The 22,401-nt window shown below is 37.8% G+C and overlaps 1 long non-coding RNA gene across 2 annotated transcripts in view; it reads right to left on the bottom strand.

Moving 5' to 3' along the window:
• LOC105370220 (uncharacterized) overlaps positions 1–15,725 on the bottom strand; it is a 49,062-nt gene extending 33,337 nt beyond the window's left edge. Inside the window, exons 1-4 of one of the 2 annotated variants that reach the window (XR_941987.3) lie at positions 15,687–15,725; positions 15,445–15,591; positions 13,713–13,795; positions 11,583–11,697 (exon numbers count right to left, since the gene is read on the bottom strand). This is a non-coding gene — a long non-coding RNA (uncharacterized LOC105370220). The remainder of the gene's footprint in view (positions 1–11,582; positions 11,698–13,712; positions 13,796–15,444; positions 15,592–15,686) is intronic. The other variant, XR_941989.3, reaches the window with a different exon arrangement.
• Between the last annotated feature and the right edge of the window lie 6,676 nt (positions 15,726–22,401).

Here is a 22,401-nt window from a genome sequence, read left to right as displayed (position 1 = left end):
AACTATTTATTTGATTTATTGCCAGATCTATACTAAATTTCATAAAATTTATATTTTTTCAAAGCCCACAATAGCAACCCAAAGATTACATCATTGACCCTGAGTAACCTCAGAAATGAAACTTCTCCCTCTTAGGTGAGAATAACATATCCAGGGAATGAATTAGCCCACTGATTTGAGCTACATGCTCAGTGCTGGGTCAAATACTGCATTTATAAAGTGTTTATAATGACATCTATGTCCTCCCAATATGACCTACAGAGATCATGGTAATTACCAAACCCCAAAGAAGCTCCATACCATGAGACACGGGATCTGGCTTCCCCAGCAGCTGCTCCAAGGGGCCAGGTATTCCAGAAGTACTGAAATTGGGATTTAACCATCTCTACCACTCTCACAACTCCCTTGGGGGAACTTTCTCCAATGAAAGCTAGAAAATAGTAAGGGAGCTAAAGATAGGCAGATAATTTCCCTTCCTATCTCCCAATGACTGCTCCTAGTTTTCCCTCAATCCTCTCCAGAATGATCCCTCCTAGACGAATGATCATGACAGTGAAGCAGTGGCTACCTGGATAACACATCATCATGTATTTGCTCCCATTCTCTCCCAACACACTGAACTTTTCCTTCACTCCTTCTTCCATAGTATTACACATCTCACTGAAGAGTCAGCAATTACTCTTTGACTTCATCTCCTAGGGAGTCCAAGCTAACATAAACACTATCTCGTTTGTTTATTGTGTTCATTGCTTTTAAGATAAGTTCCATGAGTTTTAGTGTTTACTACTGTATCTCCATTGCCTAAACCTTCCTGGCTTATGCCAGCTCCTGGATAAATAATTATTAAATTCAAAATTTATGGACTCCACTTTAGATTACATGGCCTCAGCAGTACTATTACAAAAAGAAGTGCAAAAGAGGACTCTTATGACAAGTATAGAATGAGTACTCAAGAATTCTTCAATAATATTGGGAAAACAAAATTGATTCCATGTTGGATCCTAGCCATTTACTCACTAGTATCTACTGCTTGTGTAATGCAGGTTGCTCAAAGTATAATAATAACAAGACAGAATCTTTGCCTTCAAAAAGTATACAGTCTAGTCTTGGCATGCATACATTCATAATTGCCTTAAGACTTTTCAGAAAATTGAATATATTATAATTACCTCATTTTGCATGAGATAAAACAACTGAGCTTTATATAGGTGATTACCATCCTATTGCTACTTCTATTTCTAAGGTAGAGATAGTTACCAGGGATGCAAAGTCCACTCCAAAACAAACTACTTTGCTTAGATCACTGGAGCACTTTGCATATTGAAATTTTGCAGCAAGCTAAGATGGAGTAGAAACACAACTCAGCAGCTTTCTTCTCCGTTCTAGTATTTATTTTTCCTTTTCCATCTGGCAACAAGGGAAAATAAACAAAGGCAACAGCATCTGTTGCTCCTGCTGCTTTGAATTAAGCTGACTTAGTTTCATCAGTTTGCCCCATTAAATCCATTGCTGCACCTTCCCAGGTATTAGTCTGACCTTTAGTTTGACACTACTGTTTGCTGGCTTTACCAGATTTTTTTTTAAAAGACATAAAGCCCAGAGAGATTGCAATTAAAAAGCCAAAGATGTTTAATAGCCTTTGCTTCAGTTGTATATGTGCATATAAACATAAGGTTTTTAAAATCCAAATTTCCATATTAGTGTCTATATTTAAAGCACAAGTAATAAGCCTCTGATATTAAAAACAAGGGATTGCCTAGAGATTTGTTTTAAATGATAGGCTTTTGAAGCTTTAGTGATGGTTGTGGGGTGGATCTCCTTGATAAAGAGATGGGATGTAAGAGAGATTACTAAATGATTTTGAGTTTCGGGAATGCACTGGTTTTTATGCAGGTCTTGATATGCTTGAGCACACAAATACATTCCATAAATCTGTCTAAGTTCCCCAGAACTCAAGGGTAATGTATTTCCTCTTGAATTTCTGTCCTGATAACCTGATCAGCAACACACACACACACACACACACACACACACACACACACTCCCCTCATAAAAAGCAGTCCTAGCATAGAGAAAGAGGTGTAATTTCTAACCCATCAATCTAAAGGCGAGAGAATAAGAGCAATTTCTTCTCATGAAGTTGTCTCTGGGTATTTGAAATTTCTTCACATGATTGTATAGCAATATTATACCTGTAAAATGTTTAGAAAGTTTGTTCTTTATTTTGAAGTACTTAATTAGAAATAAGCTTGATATGAAAGTTGTTATGCAATTAAACTTATTGACCATATTAACATTTAAATGAGAACAAGCAACATCAAGATATTCAGAATTCAAGTTCAGGAGAAGATGCTATCAAGGCTCTGACAAAGAGCATTTAGGATCTATACTTACAAGGTTCATATGCTAATGATCAGTTTCACTCATAAAAATACAACTAGTAAACATTGCCCAAAAATATTCTAAATCATAGCCCTCAGTTCCAACAACTTCAAATTCAAACAGTATGTTTTGATGGTTAATGAACATAAAGCTTACCAAGTTAAAGGTTAAAACATACTACTGTAACAACTACTCATTTTTAGTAAATAGGCAGTATTTTTTTAAACTAACATTCTGTTACTTGCTACTGTTTTTTATAGCGATGAACAGTTGTGTTTTGCTTAAACAACAGTTGTGAAATGTCTTATGCTGATACTTGGTAAAAATGGAAATATCAACGTTGTTTATGTAGGATTTTCAAGCCGTAAATCAGTCAAAGGTACATTCTGTTCTGCAGTCTACCTATTAAGTATGAATGGGCTTTTCTGATTGGTGTGACATTTTAATTGACAGTGTCAAATATCAAAGACAATAATACCCATTTAAAAGTAAAACAGAATGAAATGTTCGTTTTTGTCAAATACAGAACAAATGATCCTTGTAAGAATAAAGCACTTTGCTACTCTCAAATCGTCCAATATTCAAGAGCACATTTACCACCAGTCATTAAAGTAATTTTGTTAAGAGTGAATTTTGTGTACTAGTGATTTTTTAGACTTTTTATTGAGAATGTGAAGTATTTTACTCTTTAAACTGAAATTCCATCATAAATAAACATCACTGGAAGTTTTTAAAAATTAATTTGCCTTCAGAATTCTTTCCTTTGTTCTAAATCTCTTCCTTTTTACAGACTTATGGAATAGAGGAGAACAGAAATTTCATGAGTGCCTACTCTGTGCCCGACGTTTCACACACATTGTCTAAGGTTATTCTTCTAGTAACCCTGCTATCTTGTTAATTGCATTTAACAGGAGAGGAAATGGAGCCTAAGTGAGATAAGGAATTTTTGAATAATATGTCACCTGCCTGCTCCCTCATTCCACGTGCGTAGGGAGCAAAGCCTGTATTGTTATTCACTGTTGTCTTGTCAAGAACAGACATTAATTTTGCCACCCAGGAGTGAGGGCCCGGTGGTGGCTGAAAATTGTATTGAAGAGTGTTTCCTAACCCTGTTGGGGTTGAATTTTGTATTTTGGAGGGGCGGGGGGTCTACTCAGACTTTCTGTATAGTCTCACCCACTATAAACTGGAGATGGCAAGTCCATCTGAGGTTGTTGTAAGGTGAGCATATTGTGCATATGCCTGTCACAAATTAAACAATTGACAAACAGTATTCATTATTCTTATGATATTCCATATTTATTTGCTGAACTCGACTGAGGAGAATATAAAAACACTTTGGATTTTATGAACTCCGAGTATCTGAGACAGGTCTCAGCTAATTTAGAAAGTTTATTTTGCCAAGGTTGAGGACGCGCACCAGTGACACTGCCTCAGGAGGTCCTGACGACATGTGCCCAGGGCAGTCAGAGCATGGTTTGGTTTTACACATTTTAGGGAGACCTGAGACATCAATCAACGTATGTCAGATGAACACTGGTTTGGTCTGGAAAGGTGGGACAACTCGAAGCAAAGATCAGAAGACTCGAAGCAGGGAGAGGGCATCCGGGTCATAGGTAGATAAGAGACAAAGGGTTGCATTCTTTAATAAGCCTCTCCAAAGGAGGCAATCAAATCTGCATTTATCTCAGTGAGCAGAGGGGTAACTTTGTATAGAACAAGAGGCAGGTTTGCCCTAAGTGGTTCCTAGCTTGGCTTTTCCCTTTAGCTTAGTGATTTGGGGGCCGTAAGATTTATTTTCCTTTCACAATTTTCACACAAAATGAAACAAAAGGAAATATTTTTGAAGAATAAAGAAAAATATTCTAACCACTAGGTTTGTGAAGCCTTTGTACCAGAGCCCATTACTGCAGATTTTTATGAAACTGGAAGAAAAGCCTTGCAAATGACCTATTTTCCTTAGTTTGGGGATATTCATTTCCACTTAAAGTACAGTATCAAATGAGGTTTCATGGGGGAAATAAACGAACAAGGCAGAAGAACACATTCGTTCATTTTTATGATTCTATGTAATGAAAAATTATTTTCCTAGGCTCTTTAAATAGAAATATTTAAATTGGTGTATTTGAATACATATAAATAATTTACCAGAAATGAGGGCAAACCTGACAAAAATGGGATTTTCTTCATTGTGTATACAATAAAGACATATTTGTAAGAAACCATTTCAGGTGTCTTCTGAGTTTGAGTGTTAATTAGCAGACTTTTACTTTTTAGATTACGAGTCATATTTTCATCTAATTTCCTACTGAATTTTATAATTAATTACATTTGCTCTATGCTTCGTTAATTCCCTGAAAACAAATCACAGTTTTAGTGTCTTTTATGCATCTAAATTTTAAAGTTTTCACTTTCTTGAAAAATAAATAGATCACCTTTTGGAGAATCACTTCTATTCCAAAACTCTATTTTAAATAGAATTATAAATTTTGCTTAATATTTCTTCATATATTAGAAAGACATGTAAAATATATTTCTACAGCATATAAGATAGAAATGTGTATAGCAATTTAGTAAATACTAACACACACGCAAAGATAATAGTAAGAAAGCTGAAAGCAACTCTATTCAGTAAAGAACATAAATAAATATTTTGAGCAGTAGAAGTTCTTTTATAAATTATCTTCTTAGAATCTTCTTGCCCTCTACTTTATTGGGAAGTTACAGATTGGTTAGTCACAGAGTGATTGTCAGAGATCATTTATCTAACATTTTGTTCCTTAATGAACTTTGTCTGAAACAGTTATTTCACATTTATCATTTATTAGCTCAAAATTTTCTTTCTATATGTAATAACTTTTAATACTCAGATTGATCTATTTGGTTATCCTGAAATAGTTTGCATAGAAAAAATATAGGATAAATATTAAGAACTTTTCTTGCTTTTTTTCCCATTATCTCTTTTATGAGTATCATTTTGAAATTAGGAGTTTTTCTATTTCAATATGGGTCAATCCACTGTAGCTATTATTCTTTCCAATGATCAGATTGTTCGATATCTGGCCACTGGAAGCTGGTTTTTGTGAGTTCCTGTGTCATTTTTCTTGTTATTTTATTTTCTCAGCTTTATTAAGATGTTAACATTTGGCAAACTACACATTTTGAAAGTGTACAATTAGATGTTTCAACACATCTATACACCCATGAAGTCATCCCCACAATCAAGAAAATGAACATAATCATCATCCCCCCAAATTTCCTTAAGCCTGTATAATTCTCCCCTCCACACTCCTGCCACCAGCTCCTTCTCCATTCTATGCCCATTCACTAGGCAACTGCTGATCTGCTTTCTGTCTCTACAGTTTTGCCTTTTACAGAATTGCACATAATTGAAATTTTATAGTACATGTCTTTTGTGTTTGAGTTCTCATACTTGGCATAATGATTTTGAGATGGATCAATACTGTCTGTATTAATATGTCTTACTGCACCTTATTGCTGAGTAGTATTCCATAGGAAGGATGAATCACATTTCTTTATTCATTCATCAGCATATGGACATTTAAATTATTTTCAGTTTATGGGTATTACAAATAAAGTTGCAAAGAACATTTATGTACAGAATTTTGTAAGTATGTATGCTTTCATTACTTTTGGGCAAATATTGGAGTAGAATTGCTAGATTTGATGATAGGTGTATGTTTAATTTTTTCAATAACTGTGAAACTGTTATACAAAGTGATTGTAGTATTTTAAATTCCCAACAGCAGTATAGAAAAATTATGTTTTCTCAACTTTTAGACATTCTAATAGGTATGTGCTTGACTACTGCATTTTGGCATTGTCATGTGCTTATTTGCTATCTGCATATCTTTCTGAGAAAGTGTTTGTTCAAATACTTAGCCCATTTTTATCGTGTTGCTGATTTTCTTATTATTGTGTTTTGAGAATAATTCACGTTTTGGATACAAGAATTTATTAGATATATACATTGCGAATATATCCTTCCTATTTGTGGATAGTCTTTTCTCTCTCTTAAAAGTGTCTTTTGGCCAGGTACGGTGGCTCAAGCCTGTAATATCAGCACTGTGGGAGGCTGAGGAGTGTGGATCACTCGAGGTCAGCTGTTTGAGACTAGCCTGGCCAACATAGTGAAACCCCATCTCTACTAAAAAACTACAAAAATTAGCCCGGTGTAGTCCCAGCTACTTGGGAAGCTGAGGCAGAAGAATTGCTTGAACCTGGGAGGCGGAGGTTGCAGTGAGCTGAGATCACGCCACTGCACTCCAGCCTGGGCAACAGAGTACAACTCCATCTGAAAACAAACAAACAAACAAAAAAGGTGTCTTTCTTATAAATCATGTTTTACTATTATATTAAATAAATATTTCATAACCCAAGATGACAGAGTTTTTACTCCTATGTTTTCTTCTAGGAGTTTTATAATTTTAGATTTTACATTTAGGTCTACTATCCATTTTTAATTAATGTTTTGTATATAGTGCAAATTACGGGTTGAAGGTTGTTTTCTTGCATATTTTCCGGTATCATTTCTTTTGTTGATGTCATAACAGTTTTTGTTATGATGAATAATGCCAGTATGAAACAACATTTTGCATAATCATTTCATACTGCCAGAGTAGAAGAATGCATGTTTTCCCATATGTACTGTAGAGTTAGAGTTTTGACAATAATATGTTAGTTATCGATATACATGCAAATCTCTCTTGGACCCTACTGCATTCTATTTTTCTACTCATCTGCCTTTATACCGGTATCACACTGTCTTGATTTTTGTCTTGATTATGGTAGCTATACTGTTAAGTTTTGAAATTAAGTAGTGTTGCCAGGCGTGGTGGCTCACGCCTGTAATTCCAGCACTTTGGGAGGCCTAGGCGGGCAGATCACTTGAGGTCAGGATCAAGACCAGCCTGACCAATATGGTGATACCCCGTCGCTACTAAAAACACAAAAAATTAGCCAGACGTGGTGGCAGGCACCTGTAGTCCCAGCCACTTGGGAGGCTGAGACAGGAGAATCGCTTGAACCCAGGAGGTGGGGGATGCAGTGAGCCAAGATCGCACCACAGCACCCCAGCCTGGGCAACAGTGCAAGACTGCGTCTCAAAGAAAAAAAAAAAAGAAATTAAGTAGTGTTTGTTTTCCAAATGTTTTCTTCTTTTTCAATATTGGTTAGACTGTTCTAGGTCATTTGAATTTGTATAGACATTGTAAAATCAGTTTGTCACTTTCTATTTTTAAAAAGCCCTGCTGGGTTTTTTATTGGGATTGCATCAAATTTGTAGATCAATTTCGGTTAAATTGACATCTTGGTGATATTTGGTCTTTATACCCATCAAGATGGTATATTTCTTCATTTACTTAGGTCTTCTTTAAATTCTCTAAGCAATGTTTTATATATATATATGTGTGTGTGTGTGTATATATATATATATATATGTATGTACTGGGCTTCCTAATTTGCCATATTTATTTATATTTCATATTTTTGATGCTCTTGTAAATGGCATTTTAAAATTTTTAATATTTGCTGCTAGTATAAAAACAAAAATGTGTATTTTGATTTTATATCCCACAAAATTGCTAACTCTATTCTGGTACCTCTTTTTTCTTGCCTTATTTTACTGACTAGAACCTCCAGTACAATATTGAATGGAAGTTATGAGACTAGACTTCCTTATTTCTGTTCTTTTAAAGAGAATATTCAGTCTTCCACCATTAAGTTGGATGTTAGCACTGAGTTTTTTGTAGATACTTTTTTTCAGATTTAGGAAGTTACCTTGTATTCCTAGTTTGCTGAGAGTTTTGATCAAGAAAGTGTGTTGGCTATCAGCAAATGCTTTTCTGCAAGTGTTAATGTAATGTTTATTTTTGCAGTTAAAAATGTGTATATGTGTAAATACAACTCTTTGCATACTATTTTATACCTTACTTTTAAAACTTAACCATATATCCATACGACAAGAAGAAATCTTCTCATTACTTTTTACAACTGCATGTTTAATATGTGGTTATACTCCATAACTTACTCAGGTTTCTATTAACGGATTGTTTCTAATTTTTGTTATGACAAATAATGCCACTATAAAACATTTTGCATAATCATTTCATATTGCCAGAATAGAAGCATACATGATTCCCCACACCCACAGCAGAGTATGTTATGAAACTTTGGAGTTTTGCCAATAATAAGTTACATTTAATATCTTGTTTTTGTTTCAATTTATATGTATCTTCTTTTGACTGAGATGTATCTTTTTATAAATGTAAAGGGCATTTGTAGTTTTCTTTAAAATTCTCTGAATTGCTTTCTCAGATCTGTATCTCATTAAGATTGTGATTCTTTTATTCTCAAGCATTAAAAACTCTTTATACTTGGAATATTATCCTTTGTGACATTAATTGCAAATGTTTTAGTTTAATTTTAATTTTATTTTTTACTTTATTTATGATGACTTTGCTTTGTAAATGATTTTATCCCTTTTTTTTTCCTCTTTCATTGCTTCTGTATTCCAAATGCTACTTAATGGGAGTATTTTCCTTGATTTAGATAAAAAGAAATTCCTTTGTTTTCTTCATAGGTCCTTATATTATTATGATTAATATTATTATTATGCCTTTTACTCCTTTGAAATTTGTCTTTGTATATATATATATATATATATGACATATCTTTAGCTCCTGCTTCTGTTACGCACCTGGGAATTAAAAGCAAACTCCCTAGGTTTTGTGTTAGTAGCAGCCTACATACAACCCCTATGAAATGACCAGCCTCTAATTTGGTTTTACATTTCCATTCAACTTAAATGCTCATAAAGAAAACATAGAATTGTAGACTAAACATCTTCAAAGCATTAAAAACAAAACAAAATAAGCAAAAACATCTCCATTTCACCTGACTTTTCAATTTTATTGGTAAGATACACTTGAGGTGCTCTGGTAGGTATATAGCACATGTAGAAATGGGACATGTTTTCCCCATTAGGTCTAAGAGCCATTCAAAAAAACTATGGAAGTCTGGAGTTTCTTTATAATGTAAAATAAAGATTGTCAATGTAATAAGAGGTATAGTTATGATTGCGTAATGTTATTTTGAACTCCTCATTATACTGGGTATTATGAATCATTTGTGAACACATTAAAGTAAAATTCTCTAATTGTGGTTCTCCTGATAACCTAGGAGAGTAAAATATGCATTTCTTTAGGCTGTTACAAAGAGTACAAGATTTTAAAAACAAAATAGTCAGCCCTCTCCTTTGCATTATCTCATCTTAAAAGCATTTTTGTCCTCTTCTGTAATGTAAATTGTCAATAGACTAATTAAAACATAATCACACGTTCTATTTCCCAATGTTTAGATTATAAAGGTCAACATAATGGCACAAAAACTTCAACTGTCAAATTTATTTTTAAATTTCTGAGAAATAATACCGTGTATTCCATTCTATCCAAGTACTTTAGCAATTTTCTAAGCAGCACTCAAGCTGGAGGGAGGGACGTGGTATGTTTTCTGGGAAGTATTTCTTTTCTGTTTTAAATTCAAGTGAATCAACCCCCGTGAAACTTATTTGAAGAGAGTAATTAATAAGAAAATATTAGCACTAGAATGGACGTGCCCCTCTTTTTGCCACTTTCAAAATAAAATGGCTCTGTGGAAATGATATTACAGACATATTGTTTGATAAAATATATAAAAGATAAAGTCAAATAAAATCTGAAATAACAAAAAGGACCAAGTTATGCACAAAAGAGAAAAATTTAAGGTTAGTTTAGTGTATCTGAGCCCTTATGTGGTGCCTGTTGAGAAACTCTCTGCTCATATTTGCATGAAGTTAAATATAGGATTTTGCGTGTATTGATAATACTTAAAAAAACAAGCAAAACCTGCAAAATACATGCATATCTTTTAAGTATATTAATAGACTACACGACATTTTAAAATAATCTTAAGATAATATTGTAAGCATAGATTTGTTTTTTTCAAAAATGTGTCCAATTTGCAATTTGCTCTTCTATGTTATGACTATATTTTAACTACCTATTTTATCTTACTGTAAGAAATGTAAAAGAAATACTTGACTTATCTTATATGCACCATGTAATCAATATCAAGGTCCTTGTAAATATTACTTGATTAGGTATCTGCACTAAGTCTAGGCAATTATAATTTCTTGCTCAGACTCTTGCAATAGTTACCTACCTATATCCATCTCCAGATAATCCATACATAATTCATTATCAGCTAAAGAACCACTGCCTTTGTCCTATTAAAATACACACACACACACACACACACACACACACAGTATCATAACATTTTATCACAACCTTTCTCTGATCAAATATCTTCAATCACATCCCATATTCTGACTCTACCCCCTCTGCTGCACCCTACTACCTCAAAAACCTAAAACCCCTAGCCTGGCTTTATTTACTCTATCTATCTTTAAGTTTTATTGTCTGCCAGTAGCCTCTTTCCAGGCTTTTACTGACTATCCTCTTTCATATTTTTCTAATAAAATTCAGAGGAATTCCAATAAAATTCAGGGAAATTTAGCGACTTGCTTCATGGTTTACACCTCTGCCTGTTCAGTGAGGGCATTTTCTAATTTCTCAGGCTTTCTATACACAGGATAATAAAGTAATAAACCAGTATTTCCCTAAAAACAGTCTAAATTGGCTGGGTGCAGTGGCTCACACCTGTAATTGTAACGTTTTTGGAGGCTGAGGCAGGGGGATCGCTGGAGCCCAGGAGTTTGAGACCAATCTGGGCAACATGGCAACTTTTTCTACCAAAAGTACAAAAAATTAGCCGGTGTGGTGGCACCAACCTGCAGTCCCAGCTACTTGGGAGGCTGAGGTGGGACAATTACTTGAGCCCAGGAGGGAGAGGCTGCAGTGAGCCAAGACCACACCACTGTACTCCAGCCTGGGCGACAAAGTGAGACGCTGTCTCAAAAAAAAAAAAGTCTAAATTTTACCTAATAAGGAAAAAAGGCCTGTGCTTTGGTAATTTGAAACTCAAAGGCTTTATTAGTTATAATAGTTATAGTCTACAGGGGCAAAAGATATGAGTAGTTATAGTTTTTGCCTCTACTTCTGTATTGTTCCAGAATCTTCTTGCCTGTGACTGCCTGTCACTCAATTCTCAAACATGGCTGAATCTTCACCCAGTCTTACCTTTATCTTTGTACTCAGATGAAAATAATCTTTGTTACCATGCTTCATCAATTATCCATTCCTCTTTGCATATCCATAAATGGCTTCCATTCAGACTTCAACACAAGCTAAGTCTCTCCAGTACAGAATGAAAGGGAGAGAGGAAGAGAAAGAGAAAGAGAAAAAAAGAAAATAAATGAATTGTCCTTTTGTCGTCTTTCTAGGTATTGCTCCATTTTCTGCCTCAGACACAGCTAAACTTGCAAAATATGTTATATACACTTATGTATTCAGTTTCTCATTTTAAAGCAATTAAGTTTGGTGGATAATTGTGTAGGACCTAAGGGAAAACTTACCCTTTTTTCTCTAAAGATTCACTAAAAATCAATGGACAAGAGGCAGATCAATAGGAGTAAAGTCATACAAAATTGACTAACATGCATGTTTGTTCATGGCAGTCATACAAAATATGAAAACTCAAAGGGCCAAGTAACAGACACCTTTATATCATGTTGAGGTAACAAAAAGAATCGGGGCTTGGAGCTTGGTAAAACAGGTTATGGGAGGGAGGGAAAGAGAAGGGCATGGGGCAAGAATAACCTTGTTGTATAGATAAAACCTCACAGGTAGCAGCTTTCAGAAAGAATAGATGTTAGTCTCTGATAAAGCTTCTCTGCCAGACATTCAAAAGTGTCAGATTTTCAGTTAGTCTTTTCTAGATCTGGATAAAGTATGTGGCGGCGTCAGGGAAAGCGTGGCTGTTCATTTCACCAATGCAGATTTACTCTACAGATGCAAGTTTCTTCCACAAAAGGCAGCTTTTCAAGGCTATTCTTGTCTGCAGCTCCTCTGAATAGCCACCTTGAAAGATGTCAAAGAAGTATATTTTGGGATAAATATTTTTGGTTTTCTTTAGTCCCCCATTTTAAACTTTACTTTTAGAAAGCTTATTAAGGTAGGATTGGCAGCTGTGTAGAGACTTGGGTTACATGTTTACATGTTTACAGATAAGAGACAGGCAAAGATATCCATTCACTGCAACCTCTGTGAGGCACCTCCCAAACTTTAGCTTTTGCTAGTGCCTTACCAGCCATCATACACCCGAAGATCAAGTGGTCTCTCATAACACAAAACAATCTCCAGTATTCCCAAAAGCCAAAGAGGTCAGGGAACTCAATGCAAAAGGAAGTAGAGTGTTAGTCCTGAGACATCACTGCCCGTGACTCTTGGGGCTTCACGGGGAAGACAGAACCACCCCAAAAAGATGTGTATGGCACCTTTTTTTCTGTGTTCCTCAGGGGGATTCTGGGCTGCCAGAAGTCCCCTTTAGAGCTTTTCATGTGGTATCAAAGGTGGCAAGAAAAGGAGGAGTACAAGTAAATGGGAGAACAAGTCTCAGAGGAGACAATTTGGAGAGATCTTAAACCTCTCCAAAAGGCTAATGAAATTTTACCTTTTGTCAGCAAAAATCATGCCAACAAGAAAGGAAGCAAACAGAGGGACAGATCATATAATTAGATATATATATGTTATATACATATGTTTTATATATATAGAGAGAGAGAGAAGCTTTATCAGAGATAACATCTATTCTTTCTGAAAGCTGCTACCTGTGAGGTTTTATCTATACAACAAGGCTATTCTTGCCCCATGCCCTTCTCTTTCCCTCCCTCCCATAACCTGTTTTACCAAGCTCCAAGCCCCGATTCTTTTTGTTACCTCAACATGATATAAAGGTGTCTGTTACTTGGCCCTTTGAGTTTTCATATTTTGTATGACTGCCATGAACACACATGCATGTTAGTCAATTTTGTATGACTTTACTCCTATTGATCTGCCTCTTGTCCATTGATTTTTAGTGAATCTTTAGAGAAAAAAGGGTAAGTTTTCCCTTAGGTCCTACACAATTATCCACCAAACTTAATATATATATATATATTTTAGTCAGCTGAAAATTTTTTCAGGGGTGAAACAGGATACAAGAGAGAAAAAGCAGAAAGGCCCTTAAAAAATTATGACCTAAATATCAGCTTTTAGTTAAGCCAACTTTTGACCGTACAACTCACTTAAAAATATTTTAAATATACACACAGCAAGCTCTGTCCCATGAGCAGTCAGCCTTTCACCGGAACCTAGGGAATGGTGTCTTACCAGCAGCCTTTCCCCTCATGACCTGGGAAGATGTTTGCCTCATCCACTCACCAGTCAGTTCTCAGCAGTGGCAGGAAGTGTGTCTTTCCAATCAAGGATAGGAAACAAAACAATGGAAAGCAAGTTGTTATTCCACACAAAATACAAACCAAAGTTTTAAGTCAAAGGTATACCTAAATACATAAGTCCAAACAAAAAGAAATAAGTACACATGAGAACAAAACCAAAAAGCCCTTCTTGGCTATCCCAAGGTCTCCAAAGAGGGAGTAAAAGCTTCAACCTTCCCAAGATTCAGACAACTCCAAACAACAGTTCAAAGAAAGAAAATTTCACCAGCCACAAATGGAGCACATCCTACATTTCTGTCCAGCATGTTCTCTAGGGTTTCAGTTTCTCAGTTGAATGTCTGCAAAGACCTGACAACCTGTGTTCCATACACACAGGAAATTTAAAAATAGTCAGGACAAGTGGAAGTCAAAAGCTATCTATGGGGGTACAAAGGATTACAAAATAAATGGGTACAGATATGCAAATATCAAACTATTTTTTTATTAATGTTTCCAAGGGACTTTTACCCTGGTCAGGAATTTAACCCAGGCCACAGTAGTACAGACATAAATTCCAAGCCACTAGACTATAGGTCTTTTTGCAGATTCTGCAAAAGATCCAAAGTAGGAAGTTTGTGTATGCAAAAAAAAATTTACTTTTGTTTTAAATCTGATTTCTGCTTTTTTCTTTTATTCTTGCCAAAGAAGGTTGTAAGTCTATAAATTCATTTTATATCTTTTCATAGGTACAAAAAGATAGCTGTTTAAGATAAAAGCTCTCTAAAAAGTTTTCTTTTAAATATAGCCAATTTATTTATTCTATAAGTGACTCAAAGCAATAGGTCTTTGTCATGAAAACTTCCAGAGATAACTTTTCAGGTTTGGATTACCATAGATGTAAGTAATGTCTTTAAAATGGGTGCAGAGGATGAATCCTCCCATGATCCCCAGAAAAATTCACTCCTGGAAATAGGCTAGAATAGCAAAATACTTTTGTTGCTATAGAAGGTTAAAGATGGCGTTTGCGTGTATGCTGCCTCCAGTATCCCACAAATCTGTGATGGGGGGCACCAGTCACTGACTTGTTAATCTGTGGCACTGGGTAGGCTCTCCTGGGATTGGACTTCCCCAAGACTAACCAGGCAACAAGGATTGAGATCACAAAAGCCCCTTATGGATAGGACTCCTCATGAAGGCAAACTCCCTAGAGAGTTTGGCAGATTTGATAAAGAGTGTACTGTTCAATATCTTACATGTCTTGGGTTCCTACTCTTTTCAGACTGGCCACTGGACGTGACCCAAATCATGCCCCACAGAAGGCTGAGACCAAGAGAGAATGTTCCCACTTTGTCACAAGCCAAGTTCTCAACAACATAAAATAAAACGAGAAAGGAATCTTACCCAATTTCTATTTCAGGGTCTATGGTAACCCTCTTTATGACAAAACACAGTAAGACAGAGACAAGGCAGAAAATAACGACTATTTCTGGGAGGAAAAGGATCAGACAATGTAAATATTCATACAAAATATACACCAGAATTTGTACACCTAAGACTACTCTCTATAAATGCTTTACTCCCATCAGTCTCAAGTTTGAAAGGGAAACGGTAGAGTGATTTTTATCATTTGCTCCACTGGATTCTATAGAGAAAGACTGGGAGTCTCACTAGTAAGAATTTCTTACCCTTTTGTGAACTTCTCAGATCCTAGGTTCCCTGGGCTGTGGCTTCCAGAAGAACAGAGTGGTTTTGGTATCCTGCTCACAGTGCCAAAACTGTGGGGGCCAAGGGAAAACCTGCCCATCATTCTCTGAAGGTTCACTGAAAATGAACTGACAAAAGGCAGATTAATAGGAGAAGAGACACACAAAATTTATTAACATGCCCACATTGTGTCCGGAATTGGTGGGTTCTTGGTCTCACTGACTTCAAGAATGAAGCCGCGGAGCCTCGCGGTGAGTGTTACAGCTCTTAAGGCGGCGCATCTGGAGTCTGTCCCTTCTGATGTTCAGATGTGTTTGGAGTTTCTTCCTTCTGGTGGGTTCGTGGTCTCGCTGGCTGAGGAGTGAAGCTGCAGACCTTCGCAGTGAGTGTTACAGCTCATAAAAGCAGCATGGACCCAAACAGTGAGCAGTAGCAAGATTTATTGCAAAGAGCAAAAGAACAAACCTTCCACACTGTGGAAGGGGATCCGAGCAGGTTGCCAATGCTGGCTCGTGCAGCCTGCTTTTATTCTCTTATCTGGCCCCACCCACATCCTGCTGATTGGTAGAGCCGAGTGGCCTGTTTTTTCAGGGTGCTGATTGGTGCATTTACAATCCCTGAGCTAGATACAAAGGTTCTCCACTTCCCCATCAGATTAGTTAGATACAGAGTTTCCACACACAGGTTCTCCAAGGCCCCACCAGAGCAGCTAGATACAGAGTGTCGATTGGTGCACTCACAAACCTTGAGCTAAACACAGGGTGCTGATTGGTGTGTTTACAAACCTTGAGCTAGATACAGAGTGCCGATTGGTGTATTTACAATCCTTGAGCTAGACATAAAGGTTCTCCACGTCCTCACCAGAGCAGCTAGATACAGAGTGTCGATTGGCACAAACCTTGAGCTAAACACAGGGTGCTGATTGGTGTATTTACAATCCCTGAGCTAGATATAAAGACTCTCCACGTCCCCACCAGACTCAGGAGCCCAGCTGGCTTCACCTAGTGGATCCCGCACCGGGGCTGCAGGTGGAGCTGCCTGCCAGTCCTGCGCCGTGCGCTCGCATTCCTCAGCCCTTGGGTGGTCGATGGGACTGGGCGCCGTGGAGCAGGGGCTGGCGCTCGTCAGGGAGGCTCGGGCTGCACAGGAGCCCACGGAGGGGGTGGGAGGCTCAGGCATGGCGGGCTGCAGGTCCTGAGCCCTGCCCCGTGGGAAGGCAGCCAAGGCCCGGCGAGAAATCGAGCGCAGCGCCGGTGGGCCAGCACTGCTGGGGGACCCAGTACACCCTCTGCAGCCACTGGCCCGGGTGCTAAGTCCCCCATTGCCCGGGGCCAGCAGGGCTGGCTGGCTGCTCCGAGTGCGGGGCCCACAAGCCCACGCCCACCCGGAACTCCAGCTGGCCCGCAAGCGCCGCACGCAGCCCCGGTTCCCGCTCCTGTCTCTCCCTCCACACCTCCCTGCCAGCTGAGGGAGTGGGCTCCGGCCTTGGCCAGCCCAGAAAGGGGCTCCCACAGTGCAGTGGGGGACTGAAGGGCTCCTCAAATGCCACCAAAGTGGGAGCCCAGGCAGGGGAGGTGCCGAGAGCAAGCGAGGGCTCTGAGGACTGCCAGCATGCTGTCACCTCTCAACATTATATGGGAGTCATACAAAATATGATAACCCAAAGAAAAGGCTAGATAATTGATGCTTTTATACCATCTTGAGGTTACAAAAAGAATAGGGGGCTTGCAGCATGGCAAGATAGGTTATGAGTGGAAGAGAGAAAGGCATGGAGCAAAGACAGTCTTGTTATACAGATAAAACCTCACAGATAGCAGGTCTCAGAAGACATACATGGTAACCTGTGATAAAGCTTCTCTGTCAGTCTTTCAAAGGGGTCAGATTTTAAGTTAATCTTTCCTAGATCTAAACAAAAAGGGAGGGGACCTCAGGGAAAGCCTGGCTGTTTGTTTCACCAATGCAGATTTTCTCTACAGATGCAAGCCTCTGACAAAAGGCAGCTTTTCAGGACTATTCTTGTCTGCAGGCTCTCTGAATTGCCATTCTGAAACATGTCAAAGAAGTTTCTTTTGGGATGAAATTTTTTTGTTTGTTTTTAATTTTCACACACATATAATAATGCATACCAAAATAAAATTATTTCTCTATAACTGAACTGGGAAGTCTGGCAAAAGACTTTTTGTCTCTGGAATCCCCTAAATTCATTCAAAATTTCTATTGAAACTCGGCCATCCATTAATTTCTTAATATTGATTCTGTTTTATCATATTCTTTTTTTTTGTGAAGCACCCACCTCCCATTCCCATTTTTGTTCCATATCTCCGTTTGGTTTTGTCAACCTAAAACAATGAGAGTCAGAAAATATGACTAAGTATAGAGTTTATTTGAGCCCAAAGCTTGAGAATGGCTTTGGGGGTAGGGAGGCATGACTGAAGTCCCATACTCATATCTCTCTGGCCTGAAAAATTTTGCAGATGTCACATAACTCAGACTTCCCTAAGCTATTTTTCTTTTCTCATTTTGGTCACAGAAAAGCTTATAATTTTATTACGTGGTTTTCTCTGCAATACGACTCATGACTTCTTTGGATTTTAAACTTTGATATGTGCAATCAAGCTTTTAGCATTCACAAAATCCTTTTCTTTCTCAAATCTATGGTTCTAAAAATTGAGAAACATGGCTTTTAAATTGCTCTTTGCTAGAGAGTTTTTAAGTGTCTACTGCAATATTGGCACTCCATTGAATTTCTCTCATTAAGACAAGCAATGACCTGCTAGTTGCCAAACCCTATGCATATATTTAGTCCTTATTTTATTTGTCCTCTCTGGCCTTTAGTACAGTTAATTACTCAGTGCTTGAAATTTACCTCTCCCAGGATGTCTGGGGAAATGTTCATTCTTGATTGTCCTCCTATCTGCACAGAGTGCTCATTCTAGCTTTCATACTGATATCCAAGAAGAAACTGTATACTTGCCTCTTGTAATTTAGTCTGCCCATGAATTCCACTGCCACTTGATATGATGAAAGCGGAAATGGAAAAGTTCCTTTGTCTCCCTTGTAGGGTGTGTGACGGGGGGAGTGGCTCGATTCTTCAGTGCCCCACTGCTCAAACCTCTAAGGGGCGCATGCAGCGGGCAGGTTGTGAGGCTCTGACCCCACAGCAGCATCTAGCGGTGAATGCTTACAGCTCCTGAAATCCCAGTGGGTGTGTGTTACAGAGTACTCTTTAGTTTTATTGTCTGTAGGCGGCTTGTGTTAATCAGCTCAATTAGACCCTCTGCCTGATGGCAAGGACAGAGGGCTTTCTGTATCCCAGCGTTCTTGCCTTGGTGTACTGGAAAAATCAGATCACACGTGGGCTTGGAGAATGAGTGCAAGGTTTTTTATTGAGTGGTGGTAGCTCTCAGTGAGTTGGATGGGGAGGCCAGAAGCAGGTGGAGAGGAAAGGTAGTTTTACCCTGAGTGGGGCGGCCCAGCAGCAGGGCTTTCCTCCAACCATCCCAGCCAAACTTTGCGTCGTTCTGCTGGTCAATGGCCCAGTGGTGTCTACCGGTGCCTATCGGTGTGTTCTTCACCATTGTGTTCCTCTCGACGTCCAGCCACTTGCATGTGCTTCCATTGTTGTGCTCTTCTCGACATCCAGTTACATGTGTGCTCTCCCCACTAGGGTCTCAGAGTTTTTATAGGCACAGGATGGGGGCGTGGCAGGCCAAGGTGGTCTTGCTACATTTGGGCATGAAAACAGAAATGCCTGTCCTCACCTAGGTCCATGGGCACAGACCCAGGGGTTGAGCCCTCGCCAGGGACCCCTCTCTTCTCCTCCTAGCACTTCCCTGCCCCCCTTCCATATCAAAAGTACTCACAACTAGATTTCCAGCACAGATTCCCTTGAATTCCTATATGGAAGCCCAGCATATGGTCACTGCTTCTTTGCTTGTTTGTCTCACCCAGGCATTAACAGTACTACTTTCATGTAATCTGGCTTTGCTCCCTGTCCAGCCTCATATCCTGCTATTTTTCTTCTCTACATTACAGTTTCAAAAAAGCAAACTACTTTAGTTGCTTGCAGTTGCTATACTCCCTCACTCTTTGAAGACTTTACACAAATTACTTCCTCTGTTTAGAATGCCTTCTCCATCACTACTTACCACCAGGCACGACACTAACCTGTAATACATCATTCTAATGCTCCCTCCTCAGTAAAATTCTCCTGGACTTCCTCGGTCAAGTTTTCTTTTCCATAAGCTTCTTTTCTGTACCTTGCATATAATCTTTGTTATAGCAGTTATTATGTTGTGTTGTACTTGTTTGTTATGTATTTAGTATTGTAAAAAATTCTGATGCATTTAGGGCACACTGCCTATTTTATTTTGGTATTTCTAAAACCACATGGTGGACTAAGTAGAATAGATAGTCAATATTGGCTAAACGAATGAATGGTATTTGATCCAGCCTTGCTTTGGATATCTTACTAAATGCACATCAGCTTCTTCATATGTGCTTTGTTTGGCTCTGTGTGATGTCATTCCTCATGAGTAGAGACTTCATGTTTTCTATTAGTTTGAAGATGCCCCCTTGCTGTACTATTGTCTCTAGTTAGTCATTGGTTATGGCTAGTTCGATGTTAAGTAATTTATTAAAGATTTTTTTTGTAACGGTCATCTCTGGCATTACTTCTTATCAGGGGTGTAATCTGCCCACTCTCAACAGGGAGAATTATTAAAAACTTATGGCTGAGCGCAGTGGCTCATTCCTGTAATCCCAGCACTTTGGGAAGTGGAGGCGGGAGGATCACAAGGTCAGGAGGTCGAGACCATCCTGGCAAACATGGTGAAACCCCAACTCTACTAAAAGTACAAAAAATTAGCCAGGTGTGGTGGCGGGCACCTGTAGTCCTAGCTACTCAGGAGGCTGAGGCAGGACAATTGCTTGAACCCGGGTGGCGGAGGTTGTAATGAGCCAAGATCGCACCACTGCACTCCAGCCTGGATGACAGAGTGAGACTCCCTCTCAAAAAACAAACAAACAAACAAACAAAAAAAACCTTACATGTTCAGCCCTAGTTGGTCTGCTCGTAAACTGATCTATGCACATTAGCAAAATTTAAAATATAGTGAAGATTTTAATTCTTAAAGCTCTCATTATAATTTTTAATTTTATAAAATATTTATCTCGATAAGACTATTATTCAGCAATTTGTCTTCTATTATATAAGAAGACATGAATCTCTTCCAAAATAACTCATTCAGAAAAATTAGGTATAATCTAACATTTAGGAAATAACATTGCTTCTGGAGCAATACATTTTTATTTTAAAGGTGTGAATGTGTGTGTGTGTGTGTGTGTCTGTGTGCGTCTGTGTGTGTGTGTTACCAAAATGCCAGGGGTTCAGTCTAGGTCCTGCTGCTGCTGCTCACTGCACAGAAAGCCAATCATTGAGACAAGAGTTATTGCCAAGGAAGAAGGCTTTAATAGGGTGCTGCAGCTAAGGACATGGGAATTCAGTCTCAAATCCATCTTCTTGACTGACTGGGGTTTATACAGCAGGAAAGAAATGTAACAATGTGTAAGAAAACAGGAATTAGGGAGGGGCAAAGAAGCAATCATGATGAATGTGGGGTCCAGCATCTCATTGTTTGGATATGGTGATCTGATGAGTTTCATTTTTTTGAAACTTTTTTGAAAGGCCTGAGGTTGTTTCCTGATGAAGGAACTCAGAGAAAACAAATAAAAGTTTCAAGCTTTAAGATCAGAAGGGTCAATTTCTATGTTTATTCAAAAACTATGGAACTATTAAGTCGGTGTCATTTATAACTCATATGTCTATAAATAAATGTGGACAATCCAATAAATATTTTACATGTACAAATACAGAAATAGGAATTCTGGTGGAAATGGAGAAGTTTTCTTAAGCACCTAGTTCAAAACTGCTAAATGTTCTATTAGTATTTTGGTTATCAGGGCTTTTAGCTGATTTTTTCTCTTTGTGGTTTATATAAAAACAAAGAAAGTTAATTTTTTAAAAGATCCTTTTTGTTTTATAGTGGTTCTTCTAAAATATTATCTTTATTTTTATCCTTACCTCAGTTTTTGTTCTGATAAAATACAAATAAAACTTTCAAATGTTTTAAAGAATATTTCTAAAACACAGACTTACATAATTACTAATATACACCTAAAGTAGATAAGTCAGAAGTTTAAAAGTTATAGCTAAATTAGAAAAGGAAAATGTATTAACAGCAGTATGACTTTGCACTGACTATGAACTCTAGTAATTTATTGCTAAAATTTAAGATACTCGGGGAAATAGTTTGTGCAGGATTGTGGAGACCATCCACTGTCTAGGAGGAGATGTGCAGAAAATCATTGGTCTTGTAAGAATTGGCGATGAGCAATTGGTCTTGTGAGAAGAGTGAACACACTATAGCATATCAGTTAGGGAAATTTGATGCTAGTTGATGGAGAAGGGCCAGCTACAAATGAAAACATATTTTACCCAAGAATTTGTTATGCGGGAAACCTTTGGAATTTTAAAGAAAGTCGTGTGAGAGGTGAGATTCATTCTCTTTGCAATATAGACATGCCCCGCAAACTGTCTCTCCATTAATGTGCTCTCACTTAACCTCCTCTTCGTCTTTAAAACCTAAAGTTCATAGAATATCTGATCCCTTCTTTTTTGGTTGAATTTTGCCAGTGTTAACATATGGATGATTTTTATTTAAGTGTTCAAAACATAATATACCAGGTGTGGGAAAACTTGCTATCCAAAAATTGGTAAAGTATCACAATTATGCTTAGATGCTTAGAAAAGTAGGGTAAATGTCAAAAACAAGGATGTGCCGATGCAGTTATGAACATTTTTCTTTCATTTATTTTTATTTTATTTAATTAAATAGATATTTTTTGAGAAAGGATCTCTCTCTTTGTCATCCAGGCTG

Source organism: Homo sapiens, chromosome 13, assembly GCF_000001405.40.
Source record: "Homo sapiens chromosome 13, GRCh38.p14 Primary Assembly".
NCBI classification, from domain to species: Eukaryota; Metazoa; Chordata; class Mammalia; order Primates; family Hominidae; genus Homo; species Homo sapiens.
The sequence above is the reverse complement of the archived record's forward strand: the minus strand, read 5'-3'. Positions and strand labels throughout refer to the sequence as shown.